The sequence below is a fragment of the Homo sapiens genome, chromosome 5 (assembly GCF_000001405.40).
Source record: "Homo sapiens chromosome 5, GRCh38.p14 Primary Assembly".
Classification (NCBI taxonomy): Eukaryota; Metazoa; Chordata; class Mammalia; order Primates; family Hominidae; genus Homo; species Homo sapiens.
The window spans coordinates 158,064,113-158,084,733 of record NC_000005.10 but is presented as its reverse complement, the minus strand read 5'-3'; the positions used below and the strand labels follow the sequence as shown (position 1 = coordinate 158,084,733).

Sequence of the window (20,621 nt, the reverse complement as noted above, 5' to 3'; positions counted from 1 at the left end):
GAGTTGTTTTGAATTGACGTTTTGGGGTTTTTAACTAAGTCCTTTGATTGCAACATAGCTCTGAGACTGGCCTATGTGAGTCCTGGCTTCAGTAGGGTTACACACCCACCCACAAACATACACACACATGCACACACACGGCATAAGCTCAACAACCCTGTTTCCCACACCCTTTAGGGACAAGCTTGTCGTGATCTGCTCCAATTCTGACCTTGTCCAGGCATGTCAAAAGGAAAAAGACTGGAATTTTGGCAAGCCACTTTTTAAAGGTCATTGACCTCTGGTTTACACTACAGTTCAAACCACAACTCTGTACCATAAATCATTATTATTAAAAGCAGCTTGGGTGCAGTGTAAAGGTCTTGGATTTATAAGCAAGAGACATGGGCTGAAATCACTGTTCTATAGCTCACTAGCTGAGTGATCGCTACCGTGTTTCTTAACATCCCTTTAACATCTGTTTAAAAGGCATCATAGTGCCAACTTTAACAGGTTACTGCAAAACTGTGGACTCCATGCATGTATGAGCCTTACAGGTAGAATATTCTTTATTCGTTTTTGTATTTTTAAGACATAGCTCATGGATGGCAAATACACAGTCCTAATGCTGTAACTCTCTATGCACGGAAAACAAAGCTAATAAATAATTGTAATTTTTGCCACAAAATCTAAAACATAGGCACATTAAATAAGGAAGTATTGTTGAGCAAATGAATGAATGAACCCAGTGCTCTAAGCAGTCACTACCAACTGATCAGAGCTGGCTCTTGAGAAGATGCACAATAGCTACCCTTGGTCCTGGCCTTTATTCCAACTTTATCACAATGTATGTAACTGATTGCTTACCCACACCCTAGCGATCCACCACCCATTTTTGTAAATAAAATTTTACTGGAACACAGCCATACTCATTTGTCTACATATTTTTATGGTTGCTTTCACACTTGTGTGGTAGAGTTTAGTAGTTATAACAGAGAACCATATAGCTCACAAAGCTTTATAATTTTAGCCTTTATTTTAAAGTTTGCAAATCCCAGCTCCAGACCATGACTACCTTTAAGGTAGAAGCTATATGCTTCATCTTCTTATCCCCAGCACCTAGCAAACAGACATGAAGGATAATTATTTTAACACATGTTGGGGACTCAAAGAATACTGATTACATATGAAATGATGCGTTCACTAGAATTAACCATTCAGATTCTTATCTGGGCTCTCAGGTGTTGAAAAACAAGGCAGTCCACATTCATCAGGAGAAGGGCCATGGCAAGCATCAGAGGCCCAAAGACAAACTGCCAAGTAGTGGCCTAAGGTATTTGGGGTGAGGATGTACAACTGAGGGCAAAAGGAGACCCCAGACCAAGAAGAGAGCATGCACAGAGCACAAAGGAGCAACTCCAAAGTCCAATCTGGTCTTCACTCTACTTCTGCTGAAAACGGGCACTGCCAAATAAAAGTCTTTTCATTGAGAACCTCAAAGTATCCTCTGTGGACAATTTACATCAAAATCATCTGAGGAGTTTGTTCACATAAAAATGCCTAGGAATTATCCAAGACTTAAGACTGCATAAACCCCAAGGGTGGAGTCCAGCACTCTGCCTGGTTAACAAGTTCCCCGGGTGCTTTTCCTACTCATTCATTTTTACAACCACTGACTTCAAGAGTATGCACTCTTCCCAAGTGAGAGTTCCTAACAAATATTTATCTCAGATGGTTCCCTTGTCACACATATTTTCATCTAAAGACTTAAGAGCAAGGCATTCTTCCTGAAGATCTGATTATTATCTGTTGAGAGATGCTTTTACTGTGTCCACACAGTGCCAAATGCCTGCTCAACCCAACCAAAAATACCAGGAGAAGGTTTGCCTCAATAACCTGGCCAGTCAGAAATTGATTGATGATCCAAGAGTCTCAAGAAGACATAGGCTCGGGGAGAGACAAGGGCAATGTGGGGAGTGTCCAGTGGAATGATAGTGTCTTATTGGAAAGTATCTTTTTCCCCAAAATAACCAAGATAAATGATTTGTGACTGTGACATAGGACAAAGGATTTCAGTATAACAGAGACGACTATGGAAAAAATGCAACTAGTAAATCACTCTATGGAGAAAAACAAAAAGGAAACAGTTCAGAATGAGTGCCTCCAGAGATAAAAATCACCTCTCTGAGATATTTTTGTGAAAAAAAAATTCCTTTAGAAATATTGGGAAATAATTTATGGTAGGAAAAAAAGGCCATTATAAACCAAATGGTCTTCCCACATGATAGCAAAGTATATATTTAACATGGGCTCGTTATACCTTATTTACTATCAATTCTAACTAGGTTTTCCTTTGCTGCCAAGGTTTAGCCCCAAGGGTGTTAAATCTAAAGCCAACCCATTCTTCTCAAGGCTGTAAACGTCCATGAAAGGGGTTACGAAGTGAAAATAGACTCCTCCCCTGCCCCTGCCCATGAGACTCATTTCTAGACTCTTCAATGGCAGCCATTCATTACTTGTGTGCCCGGGATATTCATACTACCTACCAACTATGCCCACTCAGACTCTAGAAGCAGAATTCAGAAAAAACATACATGCAAAAAATTTTTAAAGAACTGCAAAATGAGTAAAATGGCATTGGGAAAACTAAGTAATCGTCTGGGAAAATAAATAATGTTTAATTCCCAAATCACTCCCTATACCTAAAAGTAGTTCAGATTAATCAAAGATTAAACCAGAAAATATGTGGCCATAAAGGTTCTAGTAGAAAACTTGGGGGGAAATGTTATAATTTTATCATGGAGAAAGTATGTCTGTGTGTAACACAAAATTCAGATGCCAGAATGAAGTAAAGATGAATTTTACCCCACAAAATTCTACATAAAAGAAAATACTGGAAGAAGAAACAAAGATAAATAACAAACTGGAGGAAACTAGGTGGCAATGCATATTATAGATCAAAGGGTATTTTTATTAATATACAAAGAGTTCCTAAAAATCAATAAGAAAAAGCCCAACTACAGAAGGAAAAATTGCCAAGGACATAGATTCTTCACAAGTAACTAAAGCGGCTTATGGACATATTAAATTTACTCAATTTCCTTATAATAAGAGAAATGAACATTCAAAACTATACTGAAATACCATCTTTCACTGATCAGATTGACAAAGACCAAAAAAAAACTTGTAGCCACTTGTATTGAAGGTGGAGAAAATAGGTATTCTTATACCTTATTGATGGAAATGTAAATTGATTTAATCTCTGAGAAAGGCAATCTGGCAATATTTATCAAAATTTAAAATGCACATATCCTTTAACCCAATACCTAAACTTCTAATGATTCATGCTGAAATTTACCTACACATGTGTACAATAGCCGGGATTACCATTGTATCACTGCTTTTCACAGAAAAGATGAAACAATCTGAATGTCTATCAACAGAGGGCTGGTAAAAAAAAAAAAAATTATGGTAAATATATATAATAGAATATATTACAAAGTTACTAAAATTAAAGAGGTAGCTCTATGTAATTATGTAGACAAAAGTTCAAATATATATATTAAGCCAAACAGGTGCAAAATGATATATTCATATATGATTATGTATCAGGAAATATTTCTGGCAGAAAAATTGAGAAACAGATAATAGTGGTCACCTGTGGAGAGAAATGAGTGGTTGGGGAATAAGGGTGGGAGAGAGACTTTCTACTATATATGTATTTGTACTTTTTGAATTCTGAACCATGGGCATGTACTACCTATTCAAAAGATATTTTTTAATGAGCTGCAAGAAAATCAGACAAATATTCAAACCCTCTCATCATATTCTAAAAGGGTCCCGAAGGTAGGTTTAGACCTGCAGGATGTGAGTAGTATCACCAGGCAGGAAAATTTTTAAGATATTAATTAGTATTCTGCTTTATTTTTCCCTATTTCTCTTTCCCAAATATGTATTGTGACCCTTAATAACTCCTTGCCTGAGGGTGTTTTGCAGGATAGAAAGCACAAGCTGCTTAAGTCAATGGTTCTTTCCAACTTTTGTAAAGCCTCAGCACTTTGAAGAGATTGGAGCAGGAGACTCAACGGGAAGGAGAAGGTGTGCGTTTGAGGGTAATAAGAGAGTGATCAGGAAAGAGGAAAGTTTTTGTAAGCAGAAAGAGATGACATTTTGGCAACACCAACAGCAAAGCTCACGGGCTAAATATCTGGCAGGCTAAGGGAGTCTTAACCCAGGATGCAGGGACTCCCAAAGAGTCCTAAACCCCAAGAACCAGCAACTAAAGGGCCAACAGAAGCAGTGAGAGCTGACCTCTATGAACCAATGGGGACACTTCTAGCTGACTCTAAGAAAAAGTCTAGAATCTTGGGAAATCCCTGTTGGAGGTGAGGGGGTGGGGCACAGCAGGGAAAGTTAAACTCCCAGAGGGTCATGTTTTCCTCTAGCCATCGGAATGCAGGACTTACAGTTGAATTACATAGCTGATTTTTTGGGTGAAGATTCCTCCCCATTACACTGCAGAGTACACTGTTAATCAGCTGGTGGACAGTAGGTGCCCAACATACTAGTCCCACTGCTCAAAGTCTTTGATGGCACCATGTGGATATATCTTTCTTCTTCTTTTTTTTTTTTTTGAGACAGGGTCTCTTGCTTTGTCACCCAGGCTGGAGTGCAGTGATGCAGTCTCAGCTCACTGCAGCTTGACCTACTAGGCTCAAGTGATCCTCCCACCTCCCAAGTAGCTGGGACCACAGACCTGCACCGCCACATCCAGCTATTTTTTTTTTTTTTTTTTTTTTTTTGTAAAGATGGGATTTCACCATGCTGCCCAGGCTGGTCTGGAACTCCTTGGCTCAGACAATCCTCCCACCTCCACCTGCAGTGATGAGATTACAGGCTTGATCTCTTTTCTACCGTGTTGTGTACCTCTTCTTTTCCTTTGTTTTTTATGATCTACCTTTGCCTGTTTCTATCACTTTTTCTTCTCCTGATGCCCAAGATAAACACATTCTAAGGCATGAGCAAGAACGGTTTGCCACAATCAAAATCGCACAAAGATGAAGATGCTCTCTTGAGCTTACCGATTCCATGCCCAGAATCTAAATAATTTTCTCAAAATGGCCGTCTCTTCTTACTGGATTTCTCCATGAAGCTTGGGGGGATGTTAGTTAAGCCTGAGGCAGACAGTGGAGGCAACCCTCTGAGACAGCACAGGAGCCTTCTAAATGAGCTAGTTCTCTTTTGGCAAAATATAAAACAGGTCTGTGAATCTGGCACCACCACGCCTCTCAACGGGGGTTGAGGTCCATCTTCAGTAAGAGTCGTCACAAGGAGATAGGATGAGGGCCAGTGAGGGGCACCAGCATCAGTCATCAAAGAAATTGCTGCTTGGCTGTCTAAAGAAACATAATGGAGAAATGGGGAAGTGAGTGGGGAACTGAGACCCTGTGTGTAGGGAGACTGCTGCAGTGCTTAATTTAAAAGACCGTGAAAGGCCCAAAATCTCTCTCCAGAGGACCGGAAACAGCACTCTAAAATCACATGCATAAACTTGCCTTTGTTTAAGGTGGTGCTTCTCACACTGAGCCCCATGTTTGTCCTGAGGACTCTGTATACACTTTCTCCAGGACCTGAGAGTTTCAAGAAGATTTTTTCATCATGTATTCTTACTTCAGCGATAATTTTAAAAGGAGGAAAAGAAAAAGTTCCAGCGACTGTAACGCCAAAACTTCTCCTTAGCACTGACAATTTGCAGTGGAAAGTTTCTTAACTAAGAGGCAGTTGTCTTCTCTGGAGTCGAGATAATACTTTTCCTTTAAAAAGGGGCCATATATTTAAAAACAAAACAAAACAAAAAAGGGTGATCCTTCCCACACCCAGCCCAAGCCAGGCATGACAGTTTTTCTGCCTCAGCAACCTGGGAGCAAGCAGGGTAGGAGGCTACTGGTCCCCTTAAGCCTGAGCAGACTCATGGTCACTGCTAACCAAGAATAGAAATTTCATGAACCCATGACCCAGCCTCCAAGGCAGCCTCGGTGGCAGTGATCTGCCTCAACTACCAGCAAGGGACACCCCACAAGGTATTTCTGAGGGAGACAGTCAAACAAACCAGCACGGAGGATATCCCAGGAAAAGGACATAAGTATCACCTCAAATGTTCTGTGGAATAAGTTATTCTAAAACAAATTGCAGTGAACTGCATAGCTGAATCGCCTTACCCTGCAGTGGGACAAGATACTGTACCAGAAATCAACATCACATGTGAAGGAGAAATGGAAAGAGCCCAGATAAAGAAAACAACACATCTGATCAAAAACTCAAGTCCATGAAGGAATCACTAGAAGCACAAAATATTCCAGACATTTTGAGAAATGTATCTCCAAAACATGAAGCCAGGTCAACATTTAGCCTGGGTTGCCTGTGGTTATGTAACATGGCAAAATTCTGGTGAAAACACGTGATATAAAAGTGGTAAAAATTAAACTGTCAAGGAAATGCAAAAAAATGATGACTTTATCGAATAGACTATACCATTCCACTTCATGACATTGCATCCCAGGAGATTGATTCCTTGGCAAATGCAAGTTCTTTGGCACTGACAAGATGGTGCTGAGGTAAAATGTAATCGCTGTCTGCCAAGGGAAGTACAAGCGGAATAAACAGAAACCCTAACACTAGGATGAAGAATAAACATGCCTGTGAATGTGTGGATGCCAGTCTTCATTGGTATCCAGCTAAAGGGGCCAACCATATCTCAAAGTGTCACTTTGTATAAATGTCTTGATTATAGTATAGAACTATATAGATTCCATAATACAAGGTGTCACTACGTAAAAAAGTCTTCATAACAGTAATAGTGGTATGTATATCCCACAATAAAATGTTTCCATTTCCAACCTCAAAAAAAGGAAAAAGAAAGAAAATATGGTATATACAGAGAGTGGAATACAATTTAGCCATAAAAAAGAATAAAATCCTGTTATTTGTGGCAACATGTATGAGCCTAGCGGACAATATGTTAAGTGAAGTGTCAGGCACGAGAAGACAAATACCACATGTTCTCCCTCCTACATGGAAACTTTTTAAAAATATGCTTATAGAAGCAGAGAGTAGAACTGTGGTTTTTAGAGGCTGGGAAGGAGGGGGAGAGGGGAGGATAGGGAGATGCTAGTTAATAGACACAAAACTGCATAGAAGGAAAGAGTTTCCATATTCTGCTACAATATAGGGTGAATGCGGTTAGCTATAATTTAGTGTATATTTTAAGAAAACTGGAAGAGAGGATTCTGAATGTTCACAACACAAATGATAAATGTTTGAGATGATGACTATGCTAATTACCCTGATTTGATCATTATACATTGTATACATGTGTGAAAATATCACTCTCTATCCCATAGATATGTACAATAATTATGTGTCGAATAAAAAGAAAAAGAAAAAAAAAGTCCATATATTACACAGGTTTAAGAAGTTCTGGTTTTAAGCATTGTCTTTTCAGGAAAGTGGGGTAAAATGTGAATGTTCCCATCAGTTCCCATCATAGGCGGTGCCTGTGGCACCACTCTAAACTTGAGCTGTGTGTTCCAACTGCCAGTGTGAACACCAGCATCCCATGAGCCCCAAATGCAAACTGGCTTCAGACTTCTGCTCTTCTCTTTCTAAACCCCATCCATTTTTCCAGGCCTGACTTCTCCCTGACCTCATTCAACATATCTTCTGTGCCATATACTTTACCACTTTCCCTAAACTGTTTGAATTACTCACCATTGATCAACCTGTATTCCTCTTGTCTACCCAAGAATATTGTAAGATCCTGTGGGTACACCCTAGAAGAGCACGTGCCGTTAATAATAATTTCTCTTATTTTCAACAACTACAAAGCACTTTCATGCCTAGTCTCTCATTTTACTCAAACGTCAATCCTATTGGGCAAATTGGACAGGAATTACTAGAAACTTCTATCAAGATAAGGAAACTGAGGTCCAGAGAAGTTTGGTAATTGAATTTGAACCCATTAAGTGAACTCACAAACATGCTAATAAACTCTGTAATCTTCTGACCTCCATACTGATCTGAGGGTCTGTTTGATATTACATGATTTTCCTTAAAACTGTTCTTCAAAGAAATAGTGGACATCCAGTCCAGCAACCTCACTGCCGAGCCTTCATAATACTCATCCAGGTTGTAATTGTATAGTTATTTTCTGATTATAAGCCTGATCCAAAGTGAGTGCTTAATAAATATTTGCTAATGAATGAATTCTACCTCCTGCGCTGACTCTAAGTTTTAGTAGAGTGATGGCAAACCTGCTTTGCTCATTATCAAATCCCCAGCTCCTAACTAGCGCCTCACACAGAGTAGGCCTTTATGAAATATTTATTGATAAACAAATGAACCAATCAATTAGTCAATGCCTAAATGCCCTCCTTTGAAAAGCATCCATGAGGCCCACAATCAGATTTCTTTTAAAAATCTACTTTCTGTTAACCCCCCAAACCAGGGCAGTGAACCCAAAACAGAATAAAATTACTTCTAAAATGAACTGTTACCCAGTTGCAAATTGGCTCTGGCTGCTGCTGCTGCTTCTCCCCCATTGACACTCTTTTCAGGCAGCGATTTCAGGTGATGGCATTATCATCAGCGGAATTCAATAAAGCGGCTGGCTTCCCCGCCCCCCACCCCCCCATCCATGTTTATTTTCTATAATCCGTCTTACAGCGGGAGACCATTACCCAGTCAAACAACGTTCAATTTCATCGGCATTACCGCTTCAAGGAAACAGGCAGAGGGTTCGCACAAACGTGTGTGTAGTAAATTTAGTCTTTTAATAGGTTCATTCTTTATTAGGTATTTATTTCGGGAGGCAAAGTCCTAATTAGATTAAGTGGAGAAGCTAAAAAGCTATGGAAACCCACAGAGATATTCCAGAATTAGATGGATTTGGTTTAGCTTTCCAGTTTCCCCTTTATTTTCTTCAGTTGGCTGGAGAAATCCACACAGCAATCTCCAGCCCCTCAGATAAGAGTTTGTGAAATGAAACCCTGCCAACGTTTTGTGTGAGGAAGTCGCATTTGTCTTTCTCCTGCGCAAAGTTATGTGGGACTAGAATCGAGGAAAAAGCAGCTCCCAGAGCCAATGGTGAACCCAATTTACTGTGGCAGATGAATATAACAAAGGTGGTGGTCTAGATGTTTGGCCTCAAGGCACAATTCAATTTTCAGCTGTTTCAAAGCTATTATGTCAAAGGCTGTTTGCATAAACATAAAGTTGCCGGGGTGATCTTGGGCAGGCGGGAGTGGAGACGTCTGCCCTCTACTGCTCAAAATGGAGATAGCGGCTGGACGTCCCCTCAACCCAGAATTAGAGCTACAAAAACTTCAGCTGTCTCCCAAATAACAGGCCATCTCCAGAACCTTCTGAAACTTTTTCTCTCAAGCTTTAAAACCAGAGTGATTATTCAGTTTTGTGTCGAGGGGGGAAATGCAGTAGACTGAGGATGTGATGAGTTGATGGATGATGTGGGAACCTATGAAAAAGCTATTTCCCTTCTTAGAATTTGAAAGAAAATTCCTTTCACCCGCCCATCCACCCACACGTATATATTTATATCATCACATTGATATTTAATATGTTTTTTAACATAGAAAGCAGAAACAGACAATGACTCACAGGAAACAAATCAATACATTTCAGAATGGGCTAAAAATGTCACCATAAAAAAATGCTTAATGTTTATGAGGGCAAGTGTAGGGGCATATCTTCTCAGTTTCATGTTGGAATTTAGTAATTTCCTCATGTTTTGCCTCTCTTTGTTCTTCTCTTTAATGAAAACTGTGCCAAGCTATATGGTAAGCACCTTACGCTCTCAGAGAGACACCAATAACGTGTAAATGTTCCTTCTAAATACAGATCTTTTTTGGTGAAATACAGCATGGGCCACTGCTGGGGGGGACTTTTCAGATGGGGTCCCCCAGACAAAGAGGAAGGTCAAATGCAAATAGGGGGAAGATGTGGTCTGAGAGACACTGATGTAAAATCCAGTCAGTCCAGAACCAAACCTGGAGCAGAAAAACACCCATCAGATGATATTGATTCCAAATGGCACAGAATTAATCCCCAATTTGATTTTGTAAACTAATGTTCCTATATCCAGAGTTATCCTTAAAATGTTTTATATTGTAAAATGTCCAATCTTTGTTCATTACGGAACACAAAATATTCCCTCGGGACACCCAGGTACCAAATAAGGCCCTGGCATGAAGACTGGATGATATAAATACATACATGGTGTTCACAGTCCAGTGAAGTTTATAGTTCAGTGAAAGAGACTGTCATTCATCAGATAAAACAATCCAGTCATTAATTACAAAATGAAGGTGATTAAAAAATGGTGCTCATAGGCCGGGCACGGTGACTAACGCCTGTAATCCTAGCACTTTGGGAGGCCAAGGCGGGTGGATCACCTGAGGTCAGGAGTTTGAGACCAGCCCGGCCAACATGGTGAAACCCTGTCTCTACTAAAAACACAAAAACTAGCCGGGCATGGTGGCAGGCACCTGGAATCCCAGCTACTCAGAAGGCTGAGGCAGGAGAATCCCTTGAACCGAGGAGGCAAAGGTTGCAGTGAGCTGAGATCGCACCATTGCACTCCAGCCTAGGTGACAAGAGTGAGACTCCGTCTCAAAAAAAAAAAGAAAAAAAAAAAAGATGCTCATAGAGCATGTTTAATAGGATACCTGCACTAAGACAATCCCTATTATGGCAAAATAATTGTCTATAATAATTTTTTAAAATCTAATTATTGGTGTGTTTCCTCATTCTCTAGGCACTGTCTGAGGTCTTCATATGGTTTTCTCATTGAATCCTCACCGCACCCCATGAGGTAAGCATATTATTCCATTTCACTGATGAATAAACTGAGATTTAAAGAAGTAACATAACTCGTCCAAGAGCATACAGCTAGTAGGTGGCTCATAACTGTCTAAGTCCAAACTCAACACGCTTCAGTGCTTCCTGCTTTCTTAGTTATCTAACTATTCTAGAAAATTCAGTCAATGAGTTTGAGAATCAACACATTCACATTAAGCAGAGCTACTGTATTTTCTTAAAGTTTCACAAACCAAAAAGAGTTAACTATTTTTAAGAAATGGAGGAATGGGTGCTGACAGCTGGGGTAGTTAGTAGACAAGTGTGGTTTCTAAGGCCAGACTGCTTGGGTTCAAATCTCAGAACTATCAGTTACTATCTGGGTGACATTGGGGCAAGCTTCTTCATCTTCCCATACTTAGGTCTCCTCACTTGTGAAATAGGAATGATAATAATAATAATAGGATCTACCTTGTGGGCTTTTGTATTTGACACACTTAGAACAGTATTTGGAAGACAGTACGTACCCTTCAGGTGCTTCTGCATTTTGGATTTATGATGAAAGCACAGATGATGGTCTACCTCAAGGGAGCCGAGAAGATTAAATGAGGTAACATTTGTAAAGTGCTTAGAACAGTGCCCAGAACTGTGTAAGGGATATGTAACTGTTGAATGAAATCCTTCCCTGGCTGCCCATGACTGGGAAGAGGACTAGGTAGCCACAATCACCCTGGAGTCAGGAATCACCACTTTGAGATGAACCAGACACAGGTCCCCATCTAGATGGTCGAGGCCAAAGGCTTTGATCTAACTGAAGAATGGTCTTATGTTGCACAGTAATTTGCATTTGTTAGCTAAGCCTCCAGTGTTGGGATTCTGCAGAACTGCTCTGTGTGGAAAAAAATAACTAAATCACAAAAGGCAAGGGGTTCTTTGGTTTCTTCCCCCATTCCCACATTCCCAGTGGTCTGCCTTACCCCCCACCACACCCACACACAGAAACAGGAACTCAGGCTGTGAGTGAACTCGTGTCTTCCCAGTTGGTACATTAAAGGATAGGAAGGCAGGACAGAATAGTAATTAGGGACATGAAATTCAGAGGCAGGAAAAATTGGGGTCAAAATTCAGTTCCACTTCTTAAACAGAGATGAAAACAGTATTTTTCTCACAGGTTTGATGGAAGAATGAAATATGATAGTATAAAAAAGTGCTTATCACTTAAAATAAAATAAAAATAATAACAGCCAGTATTTATTGAGTGCCAACAGTGTCAAGAGCCTTCTATACCACATTTATGCCTCCCAACGACCTAGCACATATATGGCTGTTAGTCCCATTTTACAGATGATGTTTGGGATAATTGAGTCATTTGCTGCTACAGCCAGGATTTAAAGTCAAGTCTGACTGGGGCTGGGACATACTATTCTGTAAATGATAGCTGTTATTTCCCTTTGTGTCATCAATTCCTCAATTATTCAAACCATTAAATTTTTTTAATTTTTAAATTTGTGGGTACACAGTAAATGTATGTATTTATAGGGCACATGAGATGTTTTGATACAGGCATGCAATGCATAATAATCATATCATGGAAAATGGGGTATCTATCCCCTCGAGCATTTATCCTTTTTGTGCTACAATCCAATTACACTTTTAGTTATCTCAAAATGTACAATTAAATTATTGTTGACTATAGTCTCCCTGTCTAGCAAATGCTGTCTTATTCTAACTACTTTTTGTACTCATTAGCCATCCCTACCTCCCCTTCAACCCCTTCACACCCCTTCCCCTGGTAACCAACCTTCTGTTCTCTACGTCCATGAGTTCAATTGTTTTAATTTTTAGATCCCACAAGTAAGTGAGAACATGTGATGTTTGTCTTTCTGTGCTTTGCTTATTTCACTTAACATAATGATTTCCAGTTCCATCTGTGTTGTTGCAAATGACAGTATCTCAATCATTTTTGTGGTTGAATAGTACCCCATTGTGTATATGTACCACATTTTCTTTGTCCACTTATCCGTTGGACACTTAGGTTGCTTCCAAATCTTAGCTATTGTGAACAGTGGTGCCACAAACATGGAAATGCAGGTATCTCTTCAATATACTGATTTCCATTAAATATTTCATAGGTGCCTTATTTGTGGAGCCCGGGCCTGTGAGGAAAACCAGGCAGGATAACACATGGTTCTTACCTTCATGGAGCTTTTAGTTTTATTGTTTAGACAAGACACAACACCTGATGATTTACTGCTCCCATCTCCATATCATCCCAGATATAACCAGAGTCTTCTACATAAGATATTCAACTTTCTCCCTCACAGTAGACTCCCAAACACCACATGTGTGCTATATGGAGTTAATATCATTCACCATCAGTATATTAGTTAGGAGTTCTGAAGCTAATTCAATGTATTTGGGGTATGATGGTGAAACCATATATTTACCACTCTATGTGCTTAGCATAGAGATCTATTATTTTCCCCCTAATATCTATACATCCTTCTCCAAGTGATAGTATCCCAACTTTGCTCTGGAGCCTCCCATTCTCAGTCCATGAGCTTTGGGGAAAGTTGCTTCCACTCCAGGCTCCAACAGGAAGGGGTTGCTGAGCACTAATGTAACCTTGGCCAATCAAAAAGCTGCATTCTTCAAGCTAAACAATTGGTTCAAGGCTGGGCTTGTAATCTAATCAGCACCAAAGAGGCTTTTTCTGAGAGTGATGAGAGAAAAGCATCATGTTTTCCCCTGGGTCTGCTAGCAGTAAGGAGAATTTGAGTCTAGAGCTTCCAGGGCCATCACCAGGAACCTGGGAATGAAGCCAGCGTGCAAGAGACACAGCTGAGAAATGAAGAGAAAGCAGGTCCTCATGACATCAGCTGAGCCCTTGGACCATGTCACTCCTGAAACATACCACTGGAGAGAGACAGTTTGCACTTTTCTATAGAAACTTCTTCTCTACTTAAGCCAGTCTGAATTAGGTATGTATCACTTTCAACCAAATTAACCTGTACTTAGAGTGTTCAATAGATATAATGCATATTATTAATAGTAGAAGTGGAAACTGGCTGTATATATAGTCTTCTACACTTGTCATCTGTATCACTGGCACATCCCTGTGAAGTTTCTCTCTAGAGTTGGGAGTGGTTTCTAAAAAATCAAATGAGGAAAATCTGCATCAAAAACTGAGTGTGAACAAACAAATTCCACTAAGCCTTGACTCCAGCAATGCAAAACATAATGTTGGCTTCAGCATCCAACAGGTATAAATTCTATGCTCATAAGACAAAATCATGTAAGAACAAGACTTCTGTGTGCAATTTATGTTGAACCAAAGTAACTTAATTTCTTAATCCCCAAGCAACCAATTTGAGAAAAGCAAAGCATAAAACCTAAAGAAGCTTTCTTTTCAGGAATGCAGACAGTGTGAGTGAAAGCAGTGTGTTTTTAAACAGGATGGTTGTGAGAAATTCACTGATGTGTTTTTCCTTCCTGTTTTTTTCTCTTTCCTTTTTCCTGTGTCCAATCATGGACTGAGCCCTGTGCTTTCTTGCCTAAGGGAAGCTTTGTAAACTGTAAAACACTTTCTTCCCTGGCTTTTGTTTTCAAAAGGCTGCACTGGTCATGGTGGCAACATGGCAGCCCGTGGGTATTTTACTTTGCCCTACACAGAGTAATTTTAAATGCGTAAGCCAACATTTAATCCAAAAGAGATCACTCATTTTAAAAAACTGGATTTCTGACTTTTCTTGGAAAATCAGAAGACACAGCAGCACAGGTCAGCATGGCTGACAGCAGTTCACCAGGAATGAGTAGCAGCCTCTTTACACGGACCAAGTGCTTTCTAATGTTCCAAGCCCCTGCCAAGCTCCTGTGCTCACTTCCATTCCTATCTGGCCTCTTCAGGCACTTAAATTTGCAATTCTTCATCTAAACCTACAGAAGAGAGTAAGCCAGGAGCCCTAGGAGATAGGAAAGTAGAGTTGCAGACTAGAGGAAATTCCTCTAATGAAAGTAAGAAGAGAAATAAATTTTTTCAAGATTAAGGAGGATATTCCCAAAGGCTGAGAGAGAAGACAAGAGGGATTTCGGACTCTGAGCAGCAGTGAACCAAGGGGACTGGCTGGTTGTGTTCCAGAGAAATAGCAAGATTTCAGAAAGGAATGGTTGTGTCGCTCTCTACTTTGACAGTGATTTTCTTATTCCAACTGTGGCACAAAAGCAGCAGGCCAGGAATCACATCTCATAGAATGGGCTAAAGAGTATCTCAGCATCCAAGGCTCACTAATGGCCTATGACCTGGGACCCTCCCAAACCCTTTGACTCTATTGCAGACACCCTTAGTCCTTCTGGGGATGGGGGAAAAGATGGTCTCTTGGACTAAGCAAGACTGAAGTTCTAGCTCACCAGGGAAATGGGGTTTGGATTGTTTTTAAGGAAAAAAGACTACAATATTTCTTGAGCATATGAGATTGAGAACTGCTACAATTTGAAAGTGCTCCAGTAAGTCACATGCATACCCCGACCCCCGCACTCCAACTAAAAAAAAAAAAAAAAAAAAAAAAAAGTTCTTTCTCCCTTGGTTTTTCTCTGGTTTGTTTTTTTGTTTTTAATACTTCTGGGCGAGTTTTCTGAGATGGCCATTCCTGTTTGGCCCAGCCCTATGGCTGCCATGGCCTTGGCCTACAGAAGCCTGAGTTTTAGAGTGTCCTTAGTCCCAGGATGTTTGGAAGTTTCTGTTGCTCTGACCTGGACACTGTGATCCTGACACAGAGCAACAATCCCCACATTCCTCACATACTGGAAGAAGCCCAGTTGATAGCTTCTTAGCTGACAATAGAGTTCATCTGAGGCAAGTCTGCAGAATGGGACGTCAAGATACACCCTGTGATCTCTCTAGAAGTAAGAAGAAAAGTGTAGTTTTCTCTGGTTGCTCAAGAAGCAATGTTTTCATGTGGGCATCAAGAGCACCAGCTTTAAAGTCAGACAAACCAAGGTCGGATCCCGGCTCTGCCACTTATTGGCTTTTTTTAACCTTAGGCAGCCTCAGTTTCCTCAGAATAATAGTACTTGCTTCTCAGATCTGTTGGGAGGATTCAATGAGATAATGGATAGAAACTGTCTAGTTCAATACCTGTTCATAGTAAGAACTCGACAAAGGGTTAGCTGTTAAAATAATTAATGGAAATCAGCCCAGGCCCCCCGGGAATTCAGAACTTGGATAATGAAACCAGCTAAACCAACATCTGCCCAGTGATTTCATCTATAGAACATACATTAAAGAAAACAAAGGACACAGCACCAGCACGTGGCTGTTCCAGACTCTGCTAAATCCAATATAAATATTGATTTTCTCCTCACTGCCAATAGGAAAGAACCAGAGCTTCGCTGCACTCAAGGAAGATAGAAGCCAATAGATGTAAGGTGTCTAAGAAAGGAATTCCACAGGGCCCGTTGTCAGCTGTTCCAGAGAACATGAAGGAGCCAAGCAGAAAGAAAATATTGGCCTAAAAGCAAATCAGCCAGGGGAGCGAAACAGGCCAGAGCCATCGAACAAAATTGTGGGCCAGGCATGGTGGCTCACACCTGTAATCCCAGCACTTTGAGAAGCCAAGGTGGGCAGATCACAAGGTCAGGAATTCGAGACTAGCCTGGCCAACATGGTGAAACCCTGTCTCTACTAAAAATACAAAAATTAGCCAGGCATGGTGGTGCATGCCTATAGTCCCAGCTACTCAGGAGGCTGAGACAGGAGAATCACTTGAACCTGGGAAGTGGAGGTTGCAGTGAGCTGAGATTGCGCCACTGCATTCCAGCCTGGGCGACAGAGCAAGACTCCGTCTCAGAAAAAAAAAAAAAATTGTAAAGACCAAGGTTTTGTTCAGCCTTTTGTTATTCTCTTTTTTGATATATTAGGGCATACCCTCCTGACTAGGCACCCAGCGATTCATGCTGCCCTTTTGATGGCCAGCTCTGGAAGTCAGTGACATTCTGTCTCAAGCAAACTCACTCTGAACCTTCAAGGAACACCCCCGTCCCCCGTCAAACCTGCCACGTGTTCCCTTTGCTTCAGGTTCTGCTCCCTCCTTACTAATCTGAAAAATTCATGTGTTCTAAAGTATTATGAAAGGATGGAGGTTCCCTCCACTACCACTTCTATTGAATCTTTTTTTTTGTAGATAGAAGGCATAAAAATTTTCACTGTAACATGCATGCACAGAGAATAATTACCCAATGGGGTACAGAATAACCCAATGGGGTTCAGAAGCTTATATACTCTTTTTCATAGGGGAGGAAGGAGATGAAGAATTCAGACAATTCTTTTGAGGAGCTGCAAATGATTATTAGGAAATATGAATGAACAGAAATTAACTATAGATTCTCTTTGAAATTTGAATGAGCCTCCAGTGGCAGGCATTATCTTCTGAAAAAGTCCATCCAAGTGTGGTTGCATTCTTCAGTCTTCTTTTCTGAGATAGATAATGAGATTTCAGGGAAGGGAGGAAGACAATTGTATTTCTTCATTTGGTTGGGGTTGGGGGTGGGAGACAGACAAGGTTAGAGGGACATTGACTCTGAGGCCACTTCTAAGGCCTTTCAGCATGTCCAGACTTCAAGGTATCATTTTCTGAACCCCAACATTACCTTTCTGAAACTTCCCTAGAAGTTTCATACTTTAAAAGCTGAGTTAGTGGCTGTGCAGAGAAAAATTGAGTTAATAGCCAAGTGGCAAAGGATCCCATTAAACCAGTCTCCTGTTTCTAGAAATAGGTCAGTTCAATTAAACAGTCATGTCTCATTTCAGGAGATGGCGCTGCAGAGGGGCTCTCAAAGCTAGGCCTCTATATATAGTGCAGGCAAACAGATCTTTAATAAGATGCCTTTCTATGGAAACAGAAGAAAAACAAAGGTGAAGGTCCAGAGTACTTACTATGATTTGGATCTCTGTCCCCTCACATTGAAATGTGATCCTCATTGTTGGAGGTGGGGCCTGGAGGGAGGTGACTGGACCGTTGAGGTGGATCCTCATGAATGGCTTAGCACCATCCCCTTGGTGATGGGCGAGTTTTCACTCAGTTCACACGAGATCTGGTTGTGTAAAAGAATCTGGGCCCCCCCCTTCTCTCTCTTGTTCCTGCTCTCACCATGTGATGCGTCTGCTCCCACTTTGCCTCTGCCATGATTGGAAGCTTCCTGAACTTCACCAGAAGCTGAGGCAACCTGCTGCCATGCTTCCTCTACAGCCTGCAAAACCATGAGCCAAATAAACCTCTTTTCTTTGTAAATTACCCAGCCTCAGGTATTCCTTGATAGTGACACAAAAAAGGACTATCACTGTAGTCTATAAACTAGTTTTTCTAGAGTTTCTGAAGCATCTTCAGTTGCCATAGGCAGGCAGTGACAATCTGACAGACTTTCATGGATTGTAGTTTGAATCAGATGTTCCAGTTAAGAAAGAAATGTGTCTCAGAGCAGTCTGAAGATTGTAAGGAAAATTTATCAGGCCCAAAGTGACAGGAGCATGAGACTTCAGTCTGGTCCCCCACAGCCATGCCCAGGGGTAATTGTTTCAAGGCGTTTTGTTTTTTCTTTCTTTCCCTGTAGTTCCCAAACTAGCTGATAAATTTCCTAAAATGTCACCACAAGTTGCACAACATGACCCTCACCCACTATCTTCATGTTCCTGGAATTTGTGATACAAAGAACAATGAACATCAAATTGATGGCTTATGTTATTTTTATGAACCAATGCAAATTCTTGACAAACAGCTTAAGAACTGTCCCTGTTTTTTTATTTCAAAACTCACTTGTAACTGCTGCTAATTGGAGGATATATTCAGGGCAACTTGAATTTATGTCTTCCAGGCTGCAGTCTTCAAACTTGACCCAAATAAACTCTCTACTTATATTAATTTTGCCTCAGTTTCTTCCATTAGGTCAACACAGTGGACTTTCTGAGTAGTCCATCCGTCAACAAGCACGGAGGTTGTTTACATGTAAGTTGCTGTGATGATTTCTCCCAAAGTTTATATAAAGTTGTCTAGCTTCAGTTTGTAGGGCTTTTTAAAAAATAAAAAAGCACAGTTTTAATTTCTAGTATCAAATCTGCATTTTTTACAAGGCTGTTAGTACCCCCAAGAGCTGGTATTATACCTGCCTCACAAGTGACTAAGACTTGGTGTGAAGTGGACAGCCCTGGAATCACAGTTTGGTTATAAACTGTCAGGTGCTCCATAAACATGGCAAGGCACTTGCTTTATGAGAGAGGCATTGTTTCACACCCCAAGGCAGGATGCCCCCCAACTCTGTATAGGCAAAGCCTCCCACTTCCTTCCTCCCACCCCAAACCCCTCCTAAGCTGAGCCTCAGGCATACAGAGACAACAAAGAAGACAAACTTGGCCTAACTACTGATCTCCTGTCAAGAGAATCCACTGCCCACTGAAAAATGCAACTTGTAAAGTCATCTCTCTCTGGTCTTCTCATAACATGCAAACATCTATGAAAAGATACAGGAGAATTTCCTTTTGAATTAACATCTAAGCATTTATTTCTTTATAATGCCATCTGGGTCTTCTCAGGCCCTTTAAATCTAAAGAGGATTGCCTTAAATTCCCACTTCTTGTGGTATGGGGGAAGCCCTACATCTCCCCCAAGATTTCTGTAATTTCTAAGAGCTTAGTCTCTCTTACCTGCTTTTCCCTGGCTCCCAAGTCCAGGAGATTATCTCTGCTATCCACTAAAGGGACCCAGATGTAAAGTTCAGCCCCTCCTCAGGTTGCTCCCAAAGAATCCACTCAGAGAGCTAATGTTGAACAATGAGGATTTAACTGAAGATCTCAGAGAGAAGACAGTGTGTGTCCTCCAGCAAGCTACATGAGAAGTCACATTGAATGACCTCTATTGACTGACCCACTGGATGAATCCATGCTACCCGTGACCTTGTACAGCTTTTAACCGATGCCCCAGTCTGAATGCCCCAACTCGCTTGTGGCAATTGTGCTGGTCTGGTGATTATGTAATTCAATTCAGTATAAACAAGCAGACAAAAATAGGAGTACAAAAATACAGCTCTCGTTTCTATCAAAATGAAGTTGAATGCTTTGAACAGGCTTAGAGAGAAATTACTGTCAGGTTCAATCTTTGGGGAAAAAGGATCACTATAAAAGATAAGGGGATAGGAGTAAACCTCTGGAAGGATTCTGTCCTGAGATTACTTCTCAAGTTTTTTTTAAGGTGGTGCTCCAGTTAAAAAAAAGTAAAAACTAGAATTCGTAGATAATGTGTTATGGATGGAGTGCCTGCTGCAAGAAATTCCAATAGCAGACACTGGCCAGAAAACAGACCTTGGCCAGATGTCAGATGATGAGTAAAGAACACATACTTTATGTGTCTCAGGTTAAAATAAAACATATAAATGTGTTTTTTATGATATCCTGATTTAACCTTTTGTTTTCATTAACTATGCTACTGCTCCTGTCACATCCAATTAGAAGGCTTCTGCTAGTGTTAATTCATAGTTGACAGTCCTGTTTTCAAAATCCCTTTTCAGGCACCCCATCCCCAGAAAGTATCCTACCCAACTCTTTCCCCACCCAACACCAAGCTTGCCCCCATAATTTCAGATCTTTGCCCCTCTGTCATGCAGAATAAACTAGAACTCTCTGACTCCAATTCTCAAACTTGTAATCAGAAAACCTCAGCAAGGTTTTTACTCAGCAGGAATATGATAACGGCAAACACTAATGTAGTGCTCACTTTGTGCCAGGCTTT

General features: G+C 40.7%; 1 pseudogene; it reads left to right on the top strand.

Moving 5' to 3' along the window:
• LOC100128898 (latexin pseudogene) lies at nt 5,880–6,822 on the top strand (annotated as a pseudogene).